The sequence below is a fragment of the Homo sapiens genome, chromosome 1 (assembly GCF_000001405.40).
Source record: "Homo sapiens chromosome 1, GRCh38.p14 Primary Assembly".
NCBI lineage: Eukaryota > Metazoa > Chordata > Mammalia > Primates > Hominidae > Homo > Homo sapiens.
Window position 1 is genome coordinate 91936624 of NC_000001.11, and position 24111 is coordinate 91960734.

The 24111-nt window shown below is 44.4% G+C and overlaps 1 protein-coding gene across 16 annotated transcripts in view, besides 2 other annotated features; it reads left to right on the plus strand.

Annotated features, from left to right (window-relative positions):
• Positions 4852-5538: an enhancer, noted in NCBI's record as "H3K27ac-H3K4me1 hESC enhancer chr1:92407032-92407718 (GRCh37/hg19 assembly coordinates)". NCBI's record gives its function as "activates a minimal SCP1, AML or CMV promoter by ChIP-STARR-seq in primed H9 embryonic stem cells {active_cell/tissue: H9 hESC(primed)}" and the evidence as "EXISTENCE:reporter gene assay evidence [ECO:0000049][PMID:30033119]".
• Positions 5539-6224: an enhancer, noted in NCBI's record as "H3K27ac-H3K4me1 hESC enhancer chr1:92407719-92408404 (GRCh37/hg19 assembly coordinates)". NCBI's record gives its function as "activates a minimal SCP1, AML or CMV promoter by ChIP-STARR-seq in primed H9 embryonic stem cells {active_cell/tissue: H9 hESC(primed)}" and the evidence as "EXISTENCE:reporter gene assay evidence [ECO:0000049][PMID:30033119]".
• BRDT (bromodomain testis associated) overlaps positions 12748-24111 on the plus strand; it is a 65058-nt gene continuing 53694 nt past the window's right edge. For 2 of the 16 annotated variants that reach the window (NM_001242806.2, NM_001242808.2), the window contains exon 1: positions 12748-13059. The gene's annotated coding sequence lies outside the window, so the exon portion shown is untranslated. Of the gene's footprint in view, positions 13060-13266; positions 13852-15528; positions 15636-24111 lie in introns of those variants that run through there. The other 14 variants (XM_006710855.5, XM_011542032.4, XM_011542034.4 and 11 more) reach the window with 14 other exon arrangements.

Here is a 24111-nt window from a genome sequence, read left to right on the forward strand (position 1 = left end):
CAGCCTGGGTGAAAGAGCGAAACTCCATCTCAAAAAAAAAAAAAAAAAAAAAAAAAATTAAGGCCAGGCATGGTGGCTGATGCCTGTAATCCCAGCACACTGGGAGGCTGAGGTGGGAGGATCTCTTAAGCCCAGGAGGTCGAGGCTACAGTGAGCTATGATCATGCTGTTGCACTCCAGCCTGGGTGACAGACTGAGACCCTGTCTCAAAAAAAAAAAAAAAATGCACAAGGAGTAACGGAGGCCCAAGAGTTGATCCATGAAAAAAATATAATTATAATCTACTATTGTCATCTGTTATGGGATGAATTGTATTCTCCAAAAAGGTATGTTCATGTCTTAACTCTTATATCTGTGAATGAGACCTTACTTGTAAATAGGGTCTCAGGCTGGGCGCGGTGGCTCATGCCTGTAATCCCAGCACTTTGGGAGGCCAAAGTGGGCTGATTGCTTGAGGTAAGGAGTTTGAGAACAGCCTGGCCAACCTGGTGAAACCCCATCTCTATTAAAAATACAAAAAATGAGCCAGAGTGGTGGCATATGCCTATAATCCCAGCTACTCGAGAGGCTGAGGCAGGAGAATTGTTGAACCCAGGAGGCAGAGGTTGCAGTGAGCCAAGATCACGCCACTGCATTCCAGCCTGGGAGACAGAGGAGGACTCTGTCTCAAAAAGAAAGAAAGAAAGAAACAGAGTCTCTGCAGATACAATTAAAATGGGCTTGTACCAGAATGGGGGGCACTTGAACTAGTATGACTGTGTCCTTCTGAGAAGAGGCAGAGGCCAGTTGAGGTGGCTGTAATCCCGGTACTTTGTAAGGCTGAGGGGGGCAGATTGCTCGAGCCTAGGAGTTCATGACCAGCCTGAGCAACATGGTGAGACCCTGTCTCTACTAAAAATACAAAATTAGTCAGGCATGTTGGTGCATGCCTGTAGTCCTAGCTACCCAGGAGGCTGAGGTGGGAGAAGAGCTTGAGCCCGTTGAGGCTGCAGTGAGCTGAAACTACACTGCTGCATTCCAGCCTGGGCAACAGAGCAAGACCCTGCCAAAAAAAAAAAAAGAGAGAGACAGACACAGGAAGAACATCTTGTGACAATGAAGGCAGAGATTAGAGTGATGGATCTACACGCCAAAGATAGCTGGCAACACCAGATGCTAAGAGAAAAGCATGTAGGCGAATCTCCCTTAGCGCGTGTCCCTGCTGGCGCTCCGATTTCAGTCTATTGTAGTCACCCCTTATCTTCGGTTTCACTTTTTGCAGTTTCAGTCAACCATGTTCCAAAAATATTATATGGAAAGTTTCAGAAGTAAACAATTCATAAGTTCTACATTGCATGCTATTCGGAGTAATGTGAGGAGATCTGGTGCTGTCCCACTCCGGATGCGGATCATCCCTTTATCCAGGGTATCCATGCCTTACTTTATCCAGAGTATCCATGCCTTGACATCCCTGCCCTCTAGTCACTGAGTAGTGGTCTTGGTTATCAGATCAACTGTTTTGGTTTGGCAGTGCTTGTGTTAAAGCCATCCTTATTTTACCTTATAAAGACCCCAAAGTGCAAGAGTAGTGATGCTGGCAATTCAGATATGCCAAAGAGAAGCCATAAAGTGCTTCCTTTAAGCGAAAGGGTAAAAATTTTGACTTAATAAAAAAAGAAAAAAAATTGTATGTTAAAGCTGTTAAGGTATACAGTAGGAACAAATCTATCCATGAAACTGTGAAGAAGGAAAAAGAAACTCAGGCCTAGTATATATATATGGAGTACTGAACCCCATATATATATATATATGGGGTTCAGTACTATCCGTGGTTTCTGGGGGTCTTGGAACATATCCTATGAGGATAAGAGGCAACTGTTGTACAAGCCTTCAGAACTATGAGAGAATATATTCCCGTGGTTTTCAGCTATCCAGCTTGTGGTACTTTCTTACGACAGGTTTAGCAAACTCATACAGAATCTCTTAAGAATAACTATGTTTAAAAGACCAGGCCGGGCACAGTGGCTCACGCCTGTAATCCCAACACTTCGGGAGGCCGAGGTGGGTGGATCACCTGAGGTCGAGAGTTCGAGACCAGCCTGACCAACGTGGAGAAATCCCATCTCTACTACAAATACAAAATTAGCCAGGTGTGGTGGCACATGCCTGTAATCCCAGCTACTCGGGAGGCTGAGGCAGGAGAATCGCTTGAACCTGGGAGGCGGAGGTTGCAGTGAGCCAAGATGTCGCCATTGCACCCCAGCCTAGGCAATAGGAGCGAAACTCCATCTAAAATAAAATAAAATAAAATAAAATAAAATAAAATAAAATAAAATACCAGCTACTTGGAAGGCTGAGGTTGGAGGGTCTTTTGAGTCCAGGAGTTTGAGGATAGCCTGGGCAACTTAATGAGACTCCATCTCTAAAAATAATAATAAGAAGAATAGCTATCTTAAAAACAGTGAATGTCTCCACAAGCCAGAAGAATTCCCAGTTTCCTTTGAAATTACCATTTCCAGCTTGTTAATTACAAATTTTCAACTTGTGGCCGCTTGTAATCCCAGCACTTTGGGAGGCCGAGCTGGGCGGATCACCTGAGGTTGGGAGTTCAGGACCAGCCTGGCCAACATGGTAAAACTCCATCTCTACTAAAAATGCAAAAATTAGCCGGGTGTGGTGGCGCAACCCTGTAATCCCAGCTATTGGGGAGGCTGAGGCACAAGAATCGTTTGAACGCAGTTGGTGGAGGTTGCAGTGATCTGAGATTGTGCCATTGCACTCCAGCCTGGGTGACAGAGTGAGACTTTTTCAAAAGAAAAAAAAATCAACTTTGTCAGATATCTTTACAGATCAGCCAGAGAAGAGGAAAACATTATCTTTATCTTTTTTTTTTTTTTTTTGAGACAGAGTCTCCCTCTGTCACCCAGGCTGGAGTGATATGGTGCGAATCTCGGCTCACTGCAACCTCCGCCTCCCGGGCTTAAGCAGTTCTCCTGCCTCACCTCCCGAGTAGCTGGGACTGTAGGCACACACCACCATGCTTGGCTAATTTTTGTATTTTTAGTAGAGACAGAGTTTGACCATTTTGGCCAGGCTGGTCTTGCTTGAACTTTTGACCTCAGATAATCTGCCCACCTCGGCCTCCTAAAGTGCTGGGATTACAGGTGTAAGCCACTATGCCCAGCCCAGTATGTTTATAATACATTCAAAACCTAAGCTTACTCTTTTTGAGGCGTAGTTTAACCTACTGATGATGTCCTTTCTAAGGTCTACCTTCTTAGAAAATAGTTTTGCCTTGTCTTTCATTCCTGAAATGGTGTTTTATATATTTTTCCATTTTAAGCAAGTTATGGACAGTTGTTAATCAAGCATCAGTTATGGTGACTGATCAGTTAAAATTAATCACTTCTTTTGGCTAGGCTCGGTGGCTCACTCCTGTAATCCCAACACTTTGGAGGCCAAGGCGGGTGGATCATCTGAGGTCAGGGGTTTGAGACAAGCCTGACCAATATGGTAAAACCCTGTCTGTACTAAAACTACAAAAATTAGCTGGGCATGGTGGCATGCGCCTGTAATCGCTACTACTCTGGAGGCTGAGACGGGAGAATTGCCTTTGGAGGTGGAGGTTGCAGTGGGCCGAGATCATGTCACTGCACTCCAGCCTGGGCTACAGAGTGAGACTCCATCTCAAAAAAAAAAAAAATTAAAGCACTTATTTTGATCATGGTACATATAAAACACTCATTTTGTATTCAAAACAAATTTCTGAATCAATGGGAAGATAGCCAGTTACATCTCTAAAGTTTTTTTTGTTACATAAGCTATTCATTAACTTTCATACCTAACAGGAAGGAAAAAATTTAGACTGAGAATCTTTTATTCACAAAACCATAGCAGTTTGTATTTTCTAAGTAAGATTATGGTATAATAAAAAACAAATGGTTTTTGATCTAGGTTCTTAATACTGGCTCCTAAAACCCTTGGAATCTTCTGAGTGATAAGAATGTCTTTTGTATGCCAATGAGTGACTCAAGGTAGGGGTTCCTAGATAGCCAGCTCTAGGATACCGGCTGGTTGGCCAGAAAAACCCACCAGGTGATTGGAGTTAGAACTTTCAGTCCCCTCCCACCTCACCTCCCAGGAAGGGAGAAGGGCTGAGAGATTAGGCTCAATCACCAGTGACCAAAGACTTAATCACCGTTACTATGTAATGAAACCTTGATTTAAAAGAACCCCTAAACCATGGGGTTTGGGGAGCTTCCGGGTTGGTGCACAGGTAGAGATGCTGAGAGGGTGAAACATCGAAGAAGGCAAGGAGCTCTGAGTCACCCCCTACCCCTCATAACTTAATATACCTGTCTTCAATTTGGCTCCTCCTGAATTGTATCCTCTGTAATCAACCCATAAACGTAAGTAAAGCGTTTTTCTGAGCTCATGGGAACCCCTGAATTTGTAGTCTCCGTGGCAGAAGTGTAGGTAGCTTGAGCACTCTATTTGCAGCTGGTGTCCGAAGGGGCGGGTCTTGTGGAACTAATCTCTCTCTTTTTTTTTTTTTTTTTTTTTTTTTGAGACAGAGTCTCATTCTGTCGCCCAGGCTGGAGTGCAGTGGCGCAATCTCGGCTCACTGCAACCTCTGCCGCCCGGGTTCAAGCGATTCTCCTGCCTCAGCCTCCCGAGTAGCTGCGATTACAGGCGCCCACCACCACGCCCAGCTAATTTTTGTATTTTTAGTAGAGACGGGGTTTCACCATGTTGGCCAGGCAGGTCTTGAACTCCTGACCTCTTGATCCACCTGCCTCGGCCTCCGGAAGTGCTGGGATTACAGCCGTGAGCCACCACGCCCAACCCGGGACTAATCTCTTAACCTGTGGAGTCTGTGCTAACTCCCAATAGTCTTAGAATTGCATTGTTGGACACCAAGTTGGGGAGAATTGGAAAATTTGGTGTAGAAAATCCCCACACATTTGGTGCTAATAATGATGTCAGAAACGACAACATTATAAATACTATGGGAGTATTTAAATTTACCCAAGTGTCACTCAAAAAGCAAACAGCAAGCCAAGAGGCGGTGGCTCACGCCTGTAATCCCAGCACTTTGGGAGTCGGAGTCGGAGGTGGAGGCGGAGGCGGAGGCGGAGGCGGAGGCGGAGGAGGATGAATCACTTGAGGTCGGGAGTTTCAGACCAGCCTGGCCAACATGGTGAAACCGCGTCTCTACTAAAAATACAAAAACTTGCTGTGCGTGGTTACACGTGCCTGTAGTCCCAGCTACTCGGGAGGCAGAGGCAGAATTGCCTGAACTTGTGAGTGGGTGGTTGCAGTGTGCCCAGATCACGCCACTGCACTCCAGCCTGGGTGACAAAGCGAGACCCTGTTTCAAAAAATAAAAAAAAAAAATCACATAGCAGATTGAAAATTCTTGGCATATCCAACAGTCATTGTGAGAACTTTTTTTTTCTTTTTTGAGACGGAGTCTCGCACTGTCGCCCTGGCGGGAGTGCAGTGGCGTCATCTCGGCTCACTGCAAGCTCCGCCTCTCAGGTTCACGCCATTCTCCTGCCTCAGCCTCCCAAGTAGCTGGGACTACAGGTGCCTGCCAACACGCCCGGCTAATTTTTTGTGTTTTTAGTAGAGACGGGGTTTCACCGTGTTAGGCAGGATGGTCTCGATCTCCTGACCTTGTGATCCGCCCGTTTCGGCCTCCCAAAGTGCTGGGATTACAGGCGTGAGCCACTGCGCCCGGCCTTTTTTTTTTTTTTTTTAATGGAATCTCACTCTGTCGCCCAGGCTGGAGTGCAGTGGCATGATGTCAGCTCACTGCAACCTCCGCCTCCCAGGTTCAAGCGATTCTCCTGCCTCGGCCTTCAGAGTAGCTGGGATTCCAGGCATCCACCACCCGCTCAACTAATTTTTGTATTTTTAGTAGAGACAGGGTTTCGCCATGTTGGCCAAGCTGGTCTTGAACTCGCAACCAGGTGATCCACCCGCCTTGGCCTCCCAAAATGCTGGGATTACAGGAGTGAGCCGCTGCACCCGGCCGAGAACTTCTTATATGCTCACTTATTACCAATGGCTTAAGTTTCTTACTTTCCTTTCTTCTTTTTAAATAAACAGAGATGAGCTCTCCCTATGTTGCCCAGGCTGGTCTTGAACTCCTGATCTCAAAAGCACTCCTGCTGCCTCGGCCCCCCAGAGTGTTAGGATTATGGGCGTGAGCCACTGCACCCAGCCTCCTAATTATGTTTCAATAAAAATATGGCCGGGCACCTCTGTAATCCCAGCACTTCGGGAGGTCAAGGCGGGTGAAGCTCTTGAGCTCAGGAGTTCGAGACTAGCCTGGACAACATGGTGAAATCCCATCTTTACAAAAAAAAAAAAAAAAAAATTAGCCAGGTGTGGTGGTGCACGCCTGGGAGGATCGCTTGAGCCCAGGAGGTTGAGGCTGTAGTGAGTTGTGATTGCACCACTGCACTCCAGGCTGGGTGACAGAGCAAGACCCTGTCTGAAAAAAAAAAAGCCTATGCATTTTGTTCTACCTCCACTGTTTACTATTGGAGAATTGTTCTAAATAAATAAATGAAGTATAATCCCAAAGCTTCTGTTTAAAGATTAAGAGATCGTCAATGAAGTTTAAAAATAAAAATAAAGTCCAGGCCCAGTGGCTCACACCTGTAATCCCAACACTTTGGGAGGTAAGGCGGGTGGATCATGAGGTCAGGAGTAGGAGACCAGCCTGGCCAACATGGTGAAACCCTGTCTCTACTAAAAATACAAAAATTAGCTGGGTGTGGTGGCAGGAGCCTGTAATCCTAGCTACTCCGGAGGCTGAGGCAGGAGAATTGCTTGAACCGGTGAGGCAGCGGTTGCAGTGAGCCAAGATCGCACCACTGCACTCCAGCCTAGGCGACAGAGCAAGACTGCGTGTCAAAAATAAATAAATAAATAAATAAATAAATAAATAAAGCAAAAACTGAGATCATTGTTAATAAATGAACATATACAATTATATATGGTTAATAGGTACATATAGAGTACAGCAGTGCCCCCATGTCCTTGGTTTCATTTACTGAGGTTTCAGTTACCCATGGCCAACTGCAGTCTGAAAATATTAAATGGGAATTTCCAGAAAAAAATTTTTGTAAGTTTTAAATTGCCTGCCACTCTGCATAGCAGGATGAAATCTTGCACCATACAGCTCTGTCAATTCTTCTCATTGTGTAGGTATTTTGTTATTTCACATCATCACAAGAAGTGTGGGTACAGTACAATAAGATATTTTGAGAGAGAAACCATTCACATAAGTTGTATTACAGTATATTGTTATAATTGTTCTATTTTATTATTATGTATTGTTACTCTATTACTATGCCTAGTTTATAAATTAAACTTTATCATGGGAATGTATGTATATATAGTTTGGTACTATCCTCAGTTTCAGGCATCCACCGGGGTTCTTGGGACATATTCCCTGCAGGTAAGGAAAGATCACTGCATTATGTGGTATAATGAAATATATGTTTAGTCTTTGTCCCCAGTTCCTAGCCCAAATCATCTAAAACCATTGGAATTTCCTGAGTGATAGTAGCTTTTGTTATTCATTACAAGCGCCTTCAATCACACCTCAGTATATGCTAACAAGGTGACTCAGGGTGGGGCCTCTCGATAGCTTCAGGATAAGAGCTGGTCTTTGGAAAAACCAAATACTTGATTAGAGGGTTGGAACTTTCAGTCCCCATCCTCCCCAACCTTGGACCTCCAGGGAGGAGACCGGGCCATGAGCCATGGTGACTCAGGCTTGTAATCCCACCACTTTGAGAGGCCTCAGTGGGAGGATCTCTTGAGGCCAGTAGTTTGAGACCAGCCTGGGTAACATGACAGGACCTTATCTCTACAAAAAAAATAAAAAAAATTAGCCAGGGGTGGTGGTGTGCACTTGTAGTCCCAGCTACTCAGGAGGCTGAAGTGGGAGGATCTGATGGCTTGAGGCCAAGAGGTTGAGGCTACAGTGAGCCTGATTGCACCACTGCACTCCAGCCTGGGTAACAGAGTGAGACCCTGTCTCAAAAAAAAACTCAACAGATTGAGGTGGAAGGATTCCTTGAGGCCAGAAATTCGAGACCAGAGACCAGTCTGGGCAACACGGTGAGACCCTGTCTCTACACCTTTTTTTTTTTTTTTTTCTGAGACGGAGTCTCACTCTGTCACCTAGGCTGGAGTGCAGTGGCATGATCTTGACTCACTAAAACCTCTGCCTCCTGGGTTCAAGCGATTCTCCTGTCTCAGCCTCCTGAGTAGCTGGGATTACAGGCACCCACCACCACGCCCGGCTAATTTTTGTATTTTTAGTAGAGATGGGGTTTCGCCATGTTGGTCAGACTGGTCTTGAACTCCTGGACTCAAATGATCTGCCCGCCTCGGTCTCCCAAAGTGCTGGGATTACAGGCATGAATCACTGCACCCGGCCTATTTTTACTTTTTAAAAAATTTCCTCCTTCTGAGGCAAGAGTGATATTTTTTCATTTTTAGTGATAAACCAGTTGTAAATTTAAATTCTTTAACTCTTAGTTTTGAGGACATTTGTGAATCTATAGTTGCTATGGAGACCAGAAGATGGGTTTCCTTTTGTTGAATCTAATGTTAGATGAAGGATGGAAACTTAAACAACAACAACAACAAAATATATATATATATATATATATATATATATATATATATATATATATATATATATTAATGACAAGGTCCTGCTATATTGCCCAGCTAGAGTGCACAGGCTATTCACAGCTGAGATCCCATTACTGATCAGCACAGGAGTTTTGACCTGCTACATTTCTTTTTGTTGTTGTTTTGTTTTGTTTTGTGATGGAGTCTCACTCTGTCGCCCAAGCTGGAGTGCAGTGGCTCATTCTTGGCTCACTGCAAACTCCACCTCCCGGATTCAAGCAATTCTCGTGCCTCAGCCTCCCAAGTAGCTGGGATTATAGGCGGGCACCATCACATCCAGCTAATTTTTTTATTTTTAGTAGAGACGGGGCTTCACCATGTTGGCTCTGCTGGTCTTGAACTCCTGATGTCAAGTGATCACCCCTCCTTGCCTCCCAAAATGCTGGGATTACAGACATGAGCTACGGTGCCCGGCCAACCTGATCCGTTTCTGACCTGGGTTGGTTCCTCCCTCCTTAGGCAACCCGGTGATCCCCCAATCACTGTGAAGGATGGAAATGTTAAAATGTCTCCAAAGTATGTTCTTGTGATAGCCTGATTTAAATGAAAAATGCATGCTACCTGAAACTCTTTGATGATTTTTTAAAAAATCATAATTACGAGTATTTCCATATGTCATAGAATAGCCTCATAATATCCTAGTCTTCAGCCACTTTCTTTTTTTTTTTTTTTGAGATGGAGTCTCAGTCTGTCGCCCAGGCTGGAATGCAGTGGTGTAATCCTGGCTCACTGCAACCTCCGCCTCCCAGATTCAAGCAATTCTCCTGCCTCAGCCTCCCGAGTAGCTGTGATTACAGGCACCCACCACCACACCTGGCTCATTTTTGTATTTTTAGTAGAGACGGGGTTCACCATGTTGGCCAGGCTGGTCTCAAACTCCTGATCTCAGGCGATCCGCCCACCCCGGCCTCCCAAAATACTGGGATTACAGGCGTGAGCCACTGCGCCCAGCCCACTTTCTTTTCCATATTTTTGAAGCTACTTTCCCCTACCATTTTTCTGTCATACACCCCTGGCAAATCTCAATGCTACTACCTCATTTCTCCACAAACAGTCACCAATTTCTGTGTCTTCACTGTCTCAAGTATGTCTTACTAAATGCACATTTCCAATCAGCTTGTTCTGTTCTCTGTAATAATTATTTAGAAAAATTTCCACTCTCTCCTAACCTCCTTCCTGTCCTTCTTTCCCATCTTTAGCCTAGACTGTATTTTGAACTGGTTAATCAACTTCTTATTCAAAATCTCCACCTAGATATCTTACAGAATATTCAAAACTGAAATAATGATCTTCAACCTTCTAAGACTGATTCCCTTTCAGTAAATGGTGCCATTCTCCAAATGCTCAATGCAACCCAGACCATCTTTACATCTAATCTAATACCAAATCCTAGTGGGGAGGTCTACCTCCCAAATAAACCCATTCTCCATATTCTCCATTTTTGCAGCCATTTCAAGTTAAAAAAAAAAGAAAACAAAAATAACAGAAAACAAAAGAAACTTCAAATCTGGTCTTTTTACTTTCCCCACCCCCTTAATTCAAATCTAATTTGCCAGAGTCATTAAAACCCAGGCAGGGCCTGGTGCAGTGGCTCACGTCTGTAATCCCAGCATTTTGGGAGGCCAAAGCAGGCGAATCATTTGAGGTCAGGAGTTCAAGACCAGCCTAACCAACATGATAAAACCCCATCTCTACTAAAAATACAAAAAAAATTAGCTGGGCGTGGTTGCACATGCCTGTGGTCCCAGCTACTTGGGAGGCTGAGGCAGGAGAATAGCTTGAACCCAGGAGGTGGAGTTTGCAGTGAGCCATGATCATGTCATTGCCCTCCAGCCTGGGTGACAGAGCAAGACCCTGTCTCAAAAAAAAAAAAAAAACAAAAGGCAGGATCGAAGGGTAATTTACTCAATGATAATATACTTTAAAAGTTTTTGATACTTTGCACTTATGGTACATACTGTCTAGTGCAGGAAATAGACATTAAATATACCACTGGCTATACAGTTGTAATTAGTGCTATTTAATTAGGTTGTAATAAGAGTGTTTAACAGGAAGACCTAATCCAGTGGAGGCCCCCTTGAGGAAATGACTTCAGCCTGAGAGTTGAGGAATCAGTGTGGGATCGGAGGAAGGATGAAAGAGCCAATTGTAGAAGCCCAGAGACAAAGGATAGGGTCCTGGAAAGAGCTGAAAGGTCACTGGCTGAAGATGGGGGCACTACTGAAGGTGTAGTTGGAGCTGAAGGCATGTAGGACTTTTTAGCTCATCTTAAGGGGTTTGCTTTTTATCCTAAAAATAATGGAAAGTAATTGAAAGGTTTTAAGGGTGGTAACATGATGAGATTTAGCTTTTTGTTTGTTTGTTTGAGATGCAGTCTCGCCCTGTTGCCCAGGCTGGAGTGCAGTGGCACGATCTCGGCTCACTGCAACCTCCACCTCCCAGGTTCAAGCGATGCTCCTGCCTCAGACTCCTGAGTAGCTGGGATTACAGACCCGTGCCACCACGCCCAGCTAATTTTTGTATTTTTAGTAGAGACAGGGTTTCACCATGTTGGTCAGGCTGGTCTCGAACTCCTGACCTAGTGATCCACCCCTTCCCACCCCCACCCCCAGCCTCCCAAAGTGCTGGGATTACAGGCATGAACCACCGAGCCCAGCCTGAGATTAAGCTTTTTAAAAGATGGTTCAGAAGGCAATGTGGTGGTCTGCACCTACAGTACCTGGAGAGGCTGAGGTAGGAGGATGCTTGAGCTCAGGAGTTCGAGACTACCTTGAGTTATGATTGCATTGCTTCATTCCAGCCTGGGCCACAGAGCAAGACTCAATCTCAAAAAAATCACTCAATCTTCTTTACCTAGAGTGTACATGTCTCCCTGCCACTAATTCTCAAGAGGAAGGTCAAAAAGTTGATAGTTGGGGCAAAATTTGTACTGAGTCATTCCTCTCTTTCATTTCCCTTGACTTCTTTCAGATTTTTCATGATGTGAGAGTCACACCCTAAGTCTGTACCCATCTACTCTTTTCCTGAACAATAAGATAATCTCTATATCTAATCTCTAATCTATTAGAGTTTCACGTTGTTGCTCTGGCTGGCCTTGAAACCTTGGGATTAAGTGAGCCTTCCGCTTTAACCTCCCCAGTAACGGGCATTGCAGGCGCCTGCAGCCACACCATTAATACTACTTTAAACAGCAAAAACAAGAACACGAAAATTAAATCTAAACAAAAAGTGCTTGCCAATCCAGGTATTTATGTGACGTCTAGTAAGTAGATCAAGTGCGTTGCTTTCTTGTGAACACTTGGTTCTTTCCTGCCACATCAAAGTGATTGAATTAAGACGTGTCAAGCTGTTAATGGCCCCCAGACTTCCGCTTCAGGAAACTGGAGATCGATGGTTTTTTGGCCGGATTTGCGAGCAGCTTGTCAGCTGTTTTTGCCCTCCCCTTCCCATCCATCCACTGCGAATGAGTATTAGGAATTCAGAAGCGTTGTTTGCTATTTGATCCTAAGGGAAACTACTGTACTAAATATATTCTTCTGATACATGTTAGCACCTCTAAAGTATCTGCAAACCATCAAGAGGTAGTTGCGAAGACTCAAAATCCTAAATCACGCACTCATCAGTACGCAGCTGTTGCGAAACAGCTCTTAAATTGCCACTTTAAACCCAAAGAGAGTATGTCTCTAGCCTCAGCTGCTACCTAATATTGATCAAGCACTCACTACGTGCAAGAGACAGGAACTGTGGAGAAGGCTGGGGAAAAAAGCGTGAAAACCACGAAAACATCAGAAGCCAAAACTCAAGAACCTCTACTAGGCTAACTGATTAGTGAAAACGTCGTGTTAACAGCAAACGCCTTGAGTGTAGCGCTCCTACTCCTAACCCCCGGCTCTCTACACGGCAATCACCCGAACCCACTCTGCCTGCCCTAACAGGCCTGAGCTGCCCGGCTCAGACTCCTACACCTTTTTTGCACCGCCCGGGGCTGGGTGTGGTCACGTGACAGGTTCAGACCAATGGGCAGGCCGCCCGCGGGGGGTCTTCTATAAAAGCGCCTGTCGCGCGACCGCCATTACAACAAAAACTGGCGGCGAGGAACTGCGGAGAACTGTTGCCCTGCACCGCTTCATTTTGTGCAGCCTGAAAGGGGCAATCACATAAGGTCGGTTTTGTAATATACAGGTAACATACAGGTAATGTACCCTCCACAGGGGGTGCTGCCTTAGGCCGGCCCCGAGGTGCGGCCTTGGGTGGGAACAACCGTTTTTTCCCCCCTCTCCCCTCCCCGACCCCATCAACATCGTGCGACAGTCCGGGCAGTTGAGAAGGCCACCCCGCTTCGTGCCTGCAGCCCAGGTGAGTTGCCAGTCGCTTCCCTTTGGCCTTACCAACTTCAGGCTCGTTGCCCCCAAGGGATCTTTTTCTCTCTCTCCCTCTTTTCCCCTAAATGTCTGGTTTTTCTTCAAGGGAGGGCTGGGAAGGAGGAGGTTGGGGCGAGGGAGTGGGAGGTCCAGTTGTCCAACTGCCTCCTCCCATTTTGAAAAATACTCATGGTCTTTGTAGTTCCTCTTAGGTCTTGGACTGGTGTGGATCGCTGCTGCCTGTACTGTAATTTTGGAAATGCAGGAGAAAGTACGGAGCGTTTAGCTTTAGCTGGCATTTTGTGTTTATTCTGCAAGTGGTCATTTGGGACGGGGAAGTTCGGGTTCTTGCTTCATTTATTTATTCAATTAACTTTATTAAGCCCCTGGAACGTCTGAACCCTCTTTTGGGTACTGCAGGATTGTGGTGGGCTTTACTTCAAGGCGCGCTGGCCTGTATTAAGAATTAAGATAGAGGAGGCCGGGTGCAGTGGCTCGCCCCTGTAATCTCAGCACTTTCGGAGGCCGAGGCAAGTGGATCACCTGAGGTCAGGAGTTCAAGACCAGCCTGGCCAACATAATGAAATGCCCATCTCTACCAAAAATACAAAAATTAGCTGGGTGTGATGGCAGGCGCCTGTAGTCCCAGCTACTCGGGAGGCTGAGGCAGGAGAATCGCTTGAACCCAGGAGGCGGAAGTTGCAGTGCGCCGAGATCACGCCAGTGCACTCCAGCCTGGGCGACAGAGTGAGACTCCGTCTCCCCGCTCCCCCCAAAAAAGAAAGAGGTATGTACAGGGACTTTGGGACTCAAGGGAAAGGCCTGGGTGGATGGGAGGGAATGAGAGAGGCTCTTGGGCAGAAGTGATAACTCGTCTTGATCTTGAGGGACAAATAGAAGTTAGACTAAAAAGTGAGGAGGGAAGTTCAGGTAAAGAGAAGTTTCTCAAAGGCATGGATGTATGTACACCGAGTAGGATGTGACAGTGGATAATTGCTTTTTTTTTTTTTTTTTTTTTTTTAATACAGATAGCTGCTATGGCTGGGCGATCTCAGAGGATCGCCTGAGTCGCTCACGCCTGTAATCCCAGCACTTAGGAGGCCGAGGCGGGTGGATCACCTGAGGTCAGGAGTTTGAGACCAGCCTGGCCGACATGGCGAAACCCCATCTCTACTAAAAATAGAAAAATTAGCCGGGCATGGTGGTGGGTGCCTGTAGTCCTAGCTAGTTGGGAGGCTGAGGCAGGAGAATGGCTTGAACCCAGGAGGAAGTGGATGTGGCAGTGAGCTGAGATCGGGCCACTGCACTCTAGCCTGGATGACAGTGAGACTCCGTCTCAAAAAAAAAAAAAGAGATGGTCCTGCTGTGTTGCCCAGGTTGGAGTATTGACAGGCACTGTCATGGCCAACTACAGCCTGAACTGACCTCAAGCGATTCTTCTGCCTAAGCCTACTGGCTAGCTAGTACTACAGATACCCTGCCTCACTGTCGCTGACCGTGTTGGGAATTGGTGAAGTAGCAAGAGATGAGTCTAGTAAGGGGGCAGATTATAAAGGGGTTTGTATAGCATGAAGGACAGTGAGTTGAACTGTATGATCTTAAGCAACACCATTGCATAATTTATGTGGTGACTAGTGATTGAATAAAAGCAGTGGTTTATTGGATGGAGAATAGGAAAACAGTAAGTATCTCGAATATTTAAATTATATTCAGCAGTCATTTGTGCCCATGTATTTGATACTTTGAAGTGGCTGAGATTGGCATAAGGCGGGGCGGCAGGGTGGCGGGGGGGCGTGTATAGATGGAATTAAAAAAAAAGAAAAAAAAGGCTGGGCGCGGTGGCTCACGCCTGTAATCCCAGCACTTTGGGAGTCAGGAGTTGAAGACCAGCCTGGCCAACATGGTGAAACCCCGTCTCTACTAAAAATACAAAAAAATTAGCCGGGCGTGGTGGCACGCGCCTGTAATCCCAGCTACTCCAGAGGGTGAAGCAGAGAATTGCTTAAACCTGGAGGGGCGGAGGTTGCAGTGAGCTGAGATCACACCACTGCACTCCAGCCTGGGCGACAGAGTGAGACTCCAAAGTGGGGAAGGTGAGGTGGCTCAGGCCTGTAATCCCAGCACTTTGGCAAGTTGAGTTGGGCAGCCAGGAGTTCAAGACAAGCCTGGCCAACATGGCGAAACCCCATCTCTACTAAAAATACAAAAAAAATTAGCCAGGCGCAGTGGCTCATGCCTGTAATCTCAGCACTTTGGGAGGCCAAGGTCAGAGGATCGCCTGAGTTCAGGAGTTTGAGACCAGCCTGGGCAATATAGTGAGACCCTATCTCTATAAAAAATACAAAAAACTCTGCAAAGAGACTGTATCCCCAAATTCTAACTCAATGCTTTGGCACCATTTGTAGGTGCTTTATGTTAGTACATATTCAATAAATGAACAAATAGAATTTGGAAAATGGTATCCTGGAAACCAGAAGAGCATTTTAAGAATCATAATAGTTCAGTGCAGATGTTCCTGGGAGGTCAAGTTAAGAGTCAAAAATAATTCATTAGATTTAACAATTTAGCATGGTAAGTGTTAATCTTAGTGTAAGGGGAGTTTTAGAGGAATGTTGGGGGAAAAGCCAAGTGTGATGTAGGCTGTAAAGACAGTGGGTGGAGAGAGAGGCCACAGGATCATGCTGAAGGGCTTAATTGAAGCTCTCTGGCTTCCTCTGCAGTCTGGCAGGTGCACTGGCCAGAAAGGGGCTCTTCGGCTGAATGCTATGAGTCCGCTTCAGTAAGAGAAGAAAGGTGGAAAATGCTCTGGGATGAGGTATGGAAGAAAAGATTGAGGCCATAAGAAAATGATAGGATTAAGGGAAGAATTTTAAAGGAGACTGACAAAGTTTATATGGAGGGAAGCTAGTAGATAAATGTCGAAGATACAGAAAAGATGGACCAGGCCATCTGTTGAAGATACAGAAAAGATAAACCAGCACAACGGTTCATGCCTGTGATCGTAGCACTTGGGGAGCTTGAGGCAGGCGGAGGAGTGCTTGAGCCCAGGAGTTCAAGACCAGCCTGGGTAACGTAGTGAGACCCATCTCCAAAAAAAAAAAAAAAAAAAAAGAGGGACCAAGGGCCTTCCAGGGGTGATGGGGGAGTGTTATCTAGAGTCCCTGGGAAAAGAGTTCTAGATAGAAAAAGTGCCTCATCCTTAGACTGAAGGGAGAAGCAAATGAGAAGATTGAGTCATTGTAAGGAATATTGTAATTCATTTCTTTTTTTCTTTATTATTATACTTTAAGTTCTAGGGTACATGTGCACAACGTGCAGGTTTGTTACATATGTATACATGTGCCGTGTTGGTGTGCTGCACCCATTAACTCATCATTTACATTAGATATTTCTCCTAATGCTATCCCTCCCCCCTCCCTCCACCCCAACATTGTAAATCATTTCTATGAATTACCTCTGGCCCAAATTGAAGCCTGATCTAAGTTTGCAGAAACTATTTTCTCCCTTGGACTGGAGACTGCTCATTTGATGGTGTAGGATTTGGAATTAGTGTATAAGCTCATCAAGGGCCAGGTTACTTTTGACCTCCAGAATCCAAGCTCTTTAGTTCTATGCTGTGCTGTTTCCTGAGATTGAAGTATGCACTTAGGGCAACACAATTTAATAACTGATTACAGTTAGTAATCACTGAGGGAATTCAAAAATTTGTCAGCTGGGTGTTGTGGCTCACGCCTGTAATCCCAGCTCTTTGGGAGGCTGAGGCAGGAGGATTGCTTGAGCCCAGGAGTTCAAGACCAGCCCGGCCAATATGGTGAAACCCCGTCTCTACTAAAAATACAAAAATTAGCCAGGTATGATGGCGGGTGCCTGTAATCCCAGCTTCTTGGGAGGCTGAGGCAGGAGAATCGCTTGAACCTGGGAGGCAGAGGTTCCAGTGAGCCAAGTTCATGCCACTGCATTCCAGCCTGGGTGACAGCAAGAAAAAGATTCTTTTCAGAGTTCCCAAGGTTATTTTGAGAGTTATTGAGTGGGCAAGAGACGTGGTTTTCAGGCAATTTATTCATTCAACCATAGACTGATGTAACAAGGGGATGCTACACTATTGTGTGATTGTCTTCAACAAAGTGAACTGAACTTTTCATTATCATTTATGATACATTGTTTTTGAACAGTTGTAATGAGTGGTTACTATGTAACATTGAATTCTTGACATTAGATTTCATCTGCTCATGATACATTTTTTTTTTTACTTAGCATTTTCTTCTCCTACCTGTTTTTTTTGTTTGTTTTGTTTTGTTTTTTGAGACAGAGTCTCCCTCTGTTGCCCAGGCTAGAGTACAGTGGCATGATCTCAGCTCACTGCAACCTCCCCCTCCGGGATTCAAGCAATTCTCCTGCCTCAGCCTCCCAAGTAGCTGGGACTACAGGCATGTGACACCACACCTGGCAAATTTTTGTATTTTTAGTAGAGACAGGGTTTCACCATGTTGCTCAGGCTGGTCTTAAACTCCTGACTTCAGGTAATCCATTTGCCTTGGCCTCCCAAAGTGCTGAGATTTTAGGTGCGAGCCACGGTGCTCGGCATTTTTTTTTTTTTTTTTTTTTTTTTTGAGGCAAGTTCTCACTCTGTCACCTAGGCTGGAGTGCATTGGTGCAATCATGGCTCACTGCAGCCTCGACTTCATGAGCTCAAGTGATCCCCCCACCTCTGCCTCCAGAGTAGCTGGGACTACAGGTGTGCTCCATGATGCCCAGTTATTTTTTGTATTTTGTGTAGACACAAGATCTCACTCTGTTGCCCAAGATGGTCTCAAACTCCTGGGCTCAAGTGTTCTTCCCACCTTGGCCTCTCAAAGTGTTGGGTTTACAGACATGAGCCACCGTGTATGACCCATCTTTCTAGAGATATATCCACAGGTAAAAAATGTTTTGAAAGCGGAAATAACAAAATGACAACTCACTATAAACATTAGAAGCAATAGTGGAGGCTGGGTGTGATGGCTCACGCCTGTAATCCCAGCACTTTGGGAGGCTGAGGTGGGAGGATCACTTGAGAACCAAGAGTTTAATAAGACCAGCTTGAGCAGCATGGTGAACCCTCATCTCTACTAAAAAAATTAAAAAAATTAGCCAGGTGTGGTGGCATGCAGCTGTAGTCCCAGCTACTTGGGAGGCTGATGTGGGAGGATGGCTTGAGCCCGAGATCGAGGCTTCAGTGAGCAGTGATCATGCCACTGCACTCCAGCCTGGGTGACAAAGCAAGACCCTGTCTGAACAAAACAAAAAAACAGTGGACTTTCACTTAGATGGGTTAGACTGCAGATTATAGTTGCCAGTATAATGGTAACTCTGTACTTTTTTCCCCTCCTTAAGGTGGCATATTGGAATGTGAGTGTAAGTGCTTTTTAGAGAGAACCTTAAATTAACCAGCATGTTTACTTCTGACACTAGACAAGTGGTTAGGACCCACCATTAACATGAAAATTGTCTGGGTGCGGTGGCTCAATCCTGTAATCCCAGCGCTTTGGGAGGCTGAGGCAGGTGGATCACTTGAGGTCAGAAGTTCAAGACAGCCTGGCCAACATGAAATCCCATCTCTACTAAAAATACAAAAATTAGCTGGGTGTAGTGTAATGCCTCCCTGTAATCCCAGCTACTAGGGAGGCTGAGGCAGAAGAATCGCTTGAACCCGGGAGGCAGAGGTTGCAGTGAGCTGAGATTGCTCCATGGCACTCCAGCCTGGGAGACAGAGTGAGACTCCATCTTAAAAACAAAACAAAACAACAACAAAAACCTCTTTTGGGTTCTTTTGTAGGACTCTTGTGGTGGCTTCTGTTTATTATTAAAAATTAAGAGCTAAAATTAAAGGCTTTAGGGAAAGTGAAATAGTAAAATTGACAGCTGTCTAGCATAGAAATTTGCAAAGTATCATAAAAAGCCACATAAGCCCATTTTTAAACGTTTAAAAGAAACAGAAGATTAAAGTAATTGAAACAGTAAGATGGGTAATGACAGTGGATACATTATAAAAGGGAAAATTTTTAGTCATATATTGCTGGACAGTGAGCTTCACTTCACATTAGAAACCAGGGCCTCCAGCCAAGAAATGCAGAGAGTTCACCACTGAGAAGATAATCAGATTATCAAATATTAGCTATTGTTTTGCCCAGTGACAATGATATCAGAATTATTTGTTAATGTTTGGTGCATTCATGTTCAGGCCATCTGTGGCCCTCAATTACAGTGTATTTAAGGCTGTTATTAAAATTTTCAAGTGTACAGAAAGGTAAAATAGTACAAAAAAACTATATCAGCAATTGTCAACATTTTGCCATATTTGCTTTTCTATATAGCCTTCCCACAGGCCTTTTAAAGATATATTACAGATATGACTTCACAAGTTTTTTTGAGCAACACTTAACATTTCTTCCTGTATACCTTGCTATTACATCTATCAAGATGAACAATCCCCTAGATTTCCCTAGTTGTCTCAAAATGTTATGACCGATCTTTTTCTTTTTTTCTTTTGCCACCTTTCTGGCTGGAAATATGGCTGATGTTTTAAAACCAAGATTTGGTATAGAATAACCAATTGAGTTTGGTTATCATGGTTCTTCCTGCCCCCCCCCACCCCCTGCCTGCTTTTCCTGAGTTGTATGTCATGGATCTTAATGTAGAGTCATTTTTCTTATTTTCTGTAATGACCTTGACTTTTGTAAAATAGGCCATTTTAGCACTGTCCCTTAGAACTTTTCTGCCATGATGGCAGTGTTCTATATCTGCATTGTCTCATACAGTAGCTCCTAGCCACATGTGGCTATTAAGCACTTGAAATGTGGCTAAGTTTTTAATTCTATTAAGTTTTGGGTAATTTAAATTGTTATGGTTAACTAGGGGCCATCATACAGCACAGCTCTAAGTCCCTGAATTTTCTGTAAAACAAAAGTTATATCTAAAAGCTTGATTAGGCTGGCATGGTGTCTCACATCTGTAATCCCCAGCGCTTTTGGGAGGCTGAGGTGAGAGGATGACTTGAAGCCAGGAATTTGAGACCAGTCTGGGAAACATAGTGAGACTCTGGCTCCCCCCCTTTCCTGAAAAAATAATTAACCAGGCATGGTGATATGTACCTGTAGTCCTACTCAGGAAACTGAGGGAGGAGGATTGCTTGCGCCCAGGAGTTCAAGATTGCAGTGAGCCATGATTGAGCCACTGCACCCCTGCTTGGGTGACAGAGCAAGACCCTGTCTCCAAAAAATTTTTAAAAATAGAAATAAAATCTTGATTACATTCAATTGTTCACATTTTTGGCAAAAAGGCTTTATAGGTAATTTATAGGTACTATGTACTTAGCCATGTTAAATACTACAGAGAAGTCTAGGAAGGTAACTGAGGAAGGCCAGTGAGGGATATGGAATTATGGAATGTTTTACAGTATTTATGATTTGTGGGACAGCAAAAACTTTTGTGTTAGCGCTGAACATGGAGAGGATTTGTATGTGTGTTTTAATAGATTTTATTTTTGGCCGGGGGCAGTGGCTCATGCCTGTAATCCCAGTACTTTGGGAGGCCGAGGCAGGCGGATCACGAGGTCAGGAGATGGAGACCATCCTGGCTAACACGGTGAAACCCTGTCTCTACTAAAAATACAAAAAACTAGCTGGGTGTGGTGGCGGGCGCCTGTAGTCCCAGCTACTCTGGAGGCTGAGGCAGGAGAATGGCTTGAATCTGGGAGGCGGAGCTTGGACTGAGCCGAGATTGCACCACTGCACTCCAGCCTGGGCGACAGAGCGAGACTCCATCTCAAAAAAAAAAAAATTTTATGTTTTTGAGGAGTTTAGGTTCACAGCAAAACTGAGCAGTAAATAGTGTTCCCATCTACCCCGTTTCAACACTAGTACAGCACCAGAGTGGTACGTTTGTTACAATCAATGAACCTACATTGACACATCACCCAACATTAATAGTTTCCATAGTTTCTGTTTTGGTGTACATTCCATGAGTTTTGACAAATGGATCTACCGTTATACTATCATACAAGGTAGTCTCACTTCCCTGAATATCCTCTGTGCTCTGCCTATTCCCTCCTCCCCAAACCCCTAGCAACTGCTGATCTTTTTACTATCTCTATAGTTTTGTGTTTTTTTGTTGTTTTTTGTTTTTGTTTTTGTTTTTGAGAGAGTCTTGCTGTGTCACCCAGGCTGGAGTTTAGTAGGGCCATCTTGGCTCACAACCTTCACCTCCCAGATTAAAGCAATTCTTGTGCCTCAGCCTCCAAGCAGCTGGGATTACTGGCAATGTGCCACATTGCCTGGCTAACTTTTGTATTTTTATCAGAGACAGGGAAGTCTCACCATGTTGGCCAGGCTGGTCTCGAGCTCCCGACCTCAAATGATCCACCTGCCTCGGCCTTCCAAAGCGCTGGGATTACAGGCGCGAGCCGCCATGCCTGGCCAAGTTTTGCCTTTTTTTGAGAACGACATTCAGGCTTTCACGATGTCTTTTCATGACTTGATAACTCATGCCCTTTTTTTTTTTTTTTTTTTTAAAAGGAGTCTCACTCTGTCACCTAGGCTGGAGTCCAGTGGTGGGATCTCAGTTCACTGCAACCTTTGTCTCCAGGGTTCAAGCGATTCTCATGCCTCGGCCTCCTGAGTAGCTGGGATTACAAGCGTTCACTGCCATGCCCGGCTAGTTTTCGTGTTTTTAGTAGAGATGGGTTTTCACCATATTGCCCAGGCTGGTCTTGAACTCCTGATCTTGGGTGGTCTACCCACCTTCACCTCCCAAAGTGTTGGGATTACAGGTGTGAGCCACCACGCCCAGCCGATAGCTCATTTCTTTTTAGTGCTGAATAATATTTCATTGCATGAATGTAGTAGAGTGTATTTACCCTTTCACCTACTTAAGGACATCTTAGTTATTTTCAAGTTTTGGCAATTATGAATAAAGCTGCTATAAACATCCTGTGTAAGTTTTTTGTGTGGCAAGGTATTTTTTTTAAAAAATCAAGGCTGGGGGAATGTCTGTAGCCAAAGATACCAGTGGAAAGTAATTCTAGATAAAAAATTAAATGTAGAAAATGAGGCGGGGAACCGTGGGCTTACCTGTAATTCCAGCACTTTGGGAGGCCAAGGAGGGCAGATTGCTTGAGCTCAGTAGTTCGAGACCAGCCTGGGTGACATGGCAAAACCCCATCTATACAAAAAAAATGAGCTGGATATTGTGGTATGTACCTATAGTCCCAGATAATCAGGAGGCTGAGGTGGGAGAGTCGTTTGAGCCCAGGAGTTTGAGGCTGCAGTGAGCCAAGATCATACTGTTGCACTCCAGCCTGGGAGACAGTAAGACCCTGACTCAAAAAAAAGTAGAAAATGAAACCATGAGACTGCAGAAAGTATATTGTGTAATAAATACACATATATATATTTTTGAGCCAAGATCGCGCCACTGCATTCCAGCCTGGGCGATGGAGTGAGATGCCATCTCAAAAAACAAACAAAAACGTAATACATAGTAAATAATACTATATGTAAAGTTCAAAAATGGTCACAGCTTGGTCTGTAGTGATTGGAGTGGTTAACCTTTGTGGATGAGGGAGGTTACAGTGACAGGGGCACCTAAAAAGTAGGTTAGCTTTAAATAATTACAAAGCCAGGATAAGAGCCAGTTTAGTTGTGACATCCTAGAATAGCTCCATCTTTGTTCTTACGATTTTTCTCTTTTTCTTTCTTTTTTTTTTTTTTTTTATTTTACAGGTGAGGTCTCACTGTGTTGCCCAGGCTGGTCTTGAACTCCTGAGCTCTTTTTTGAGACAGGGTCTTGCTGTGTCACCCAGGCTGGAGTGCAGTGGCACAATCTGAGCTCATTGCAGCCTCTACCTCCCGGGTTCAAGTGGTCCTTCCACTTCAGCCTCCCGAGTAGCTGGGACTACAGATGTGCACCACCACGCCTGACTGATTTTTGTATTTTTTGCAGAGATGGGGGGTTTCATCTTGTTGTCCAGTCTGGTATTGAACTCCTGCCCTCAAGCCATCTGCCCTCCTCAGCCTACCAAAGTTCTGGGATTACAGGCATGAGCCACAGCACCCAGCCTATGACTTTTATTAAGTGCTATATTTCCATATATGTGTAACATGAAAATCGTGAAAGTAGAAGATTGATAACCACCTTCAATTCATTTTAATGTAGTAGTACTCAATCTTGGCCGCACATCAGAAGTAACAGGGAACTTTTAAAAAACCAACAAAACTGATTCCCAGGCGCTCTCTCCAGAGATTGGGACCTGAGCATTGGTATTTTTAAAGACCCACAGCTCCTCATACCTATTAGGATGGCTAGTATTAAAACAAAACAAAAAATTACTATTGGCAAGGGTGTGGAGAAATTGAACTCTTGTACGTTGTTAGTGGGAATGTGAAATCATGTATTGACCATGGAAAATGGGATGGGCTTCCTCAAAAAATTAGAAATATAATTGCCATATGATCTAGCAATTCCACTTGTGTATATATATCCAAAAGAATTGAAAGCAGGGTCCTGAGACACTTGTAAACCCATGTTCATAGCAGCAGTATTCACAATATAGTCAAGAAGTGGAAGCAACCCAAGTGGCATCAATGAATGAATGGATAAAGAAAATGATAGACATACGATGGAATATTATTTAGCCTTAAAAGGAAGGGAAATTCTAACACACGCTACAACATGGATGAATCTTGAGGGCTTTGTATTAGGAAAAATAAACCAATCACAAAAAAGATAAATATGATTTGTCACTTTAATGAAGCATTTAGGGTAGTCAAATTCATGGCAACAGAAAGCAGAATGGTGGTTGCCAGGTACAGCAGGGACAGAAGAATGAGGATTTGTTGGTTAATGCACATAGAGTTTCTGTTTTGCAAGATGGAAAAGTTCTAGAGATTGGTTTCACAAAAAACATGAATATACTTAACACTGCTGAACTGTACACTTAAAAAGAGTATGGTAAATTTTGGTATGTTTTACGCCACAGTTCAAAAATATAAGTGATTAATATGCAACAGGA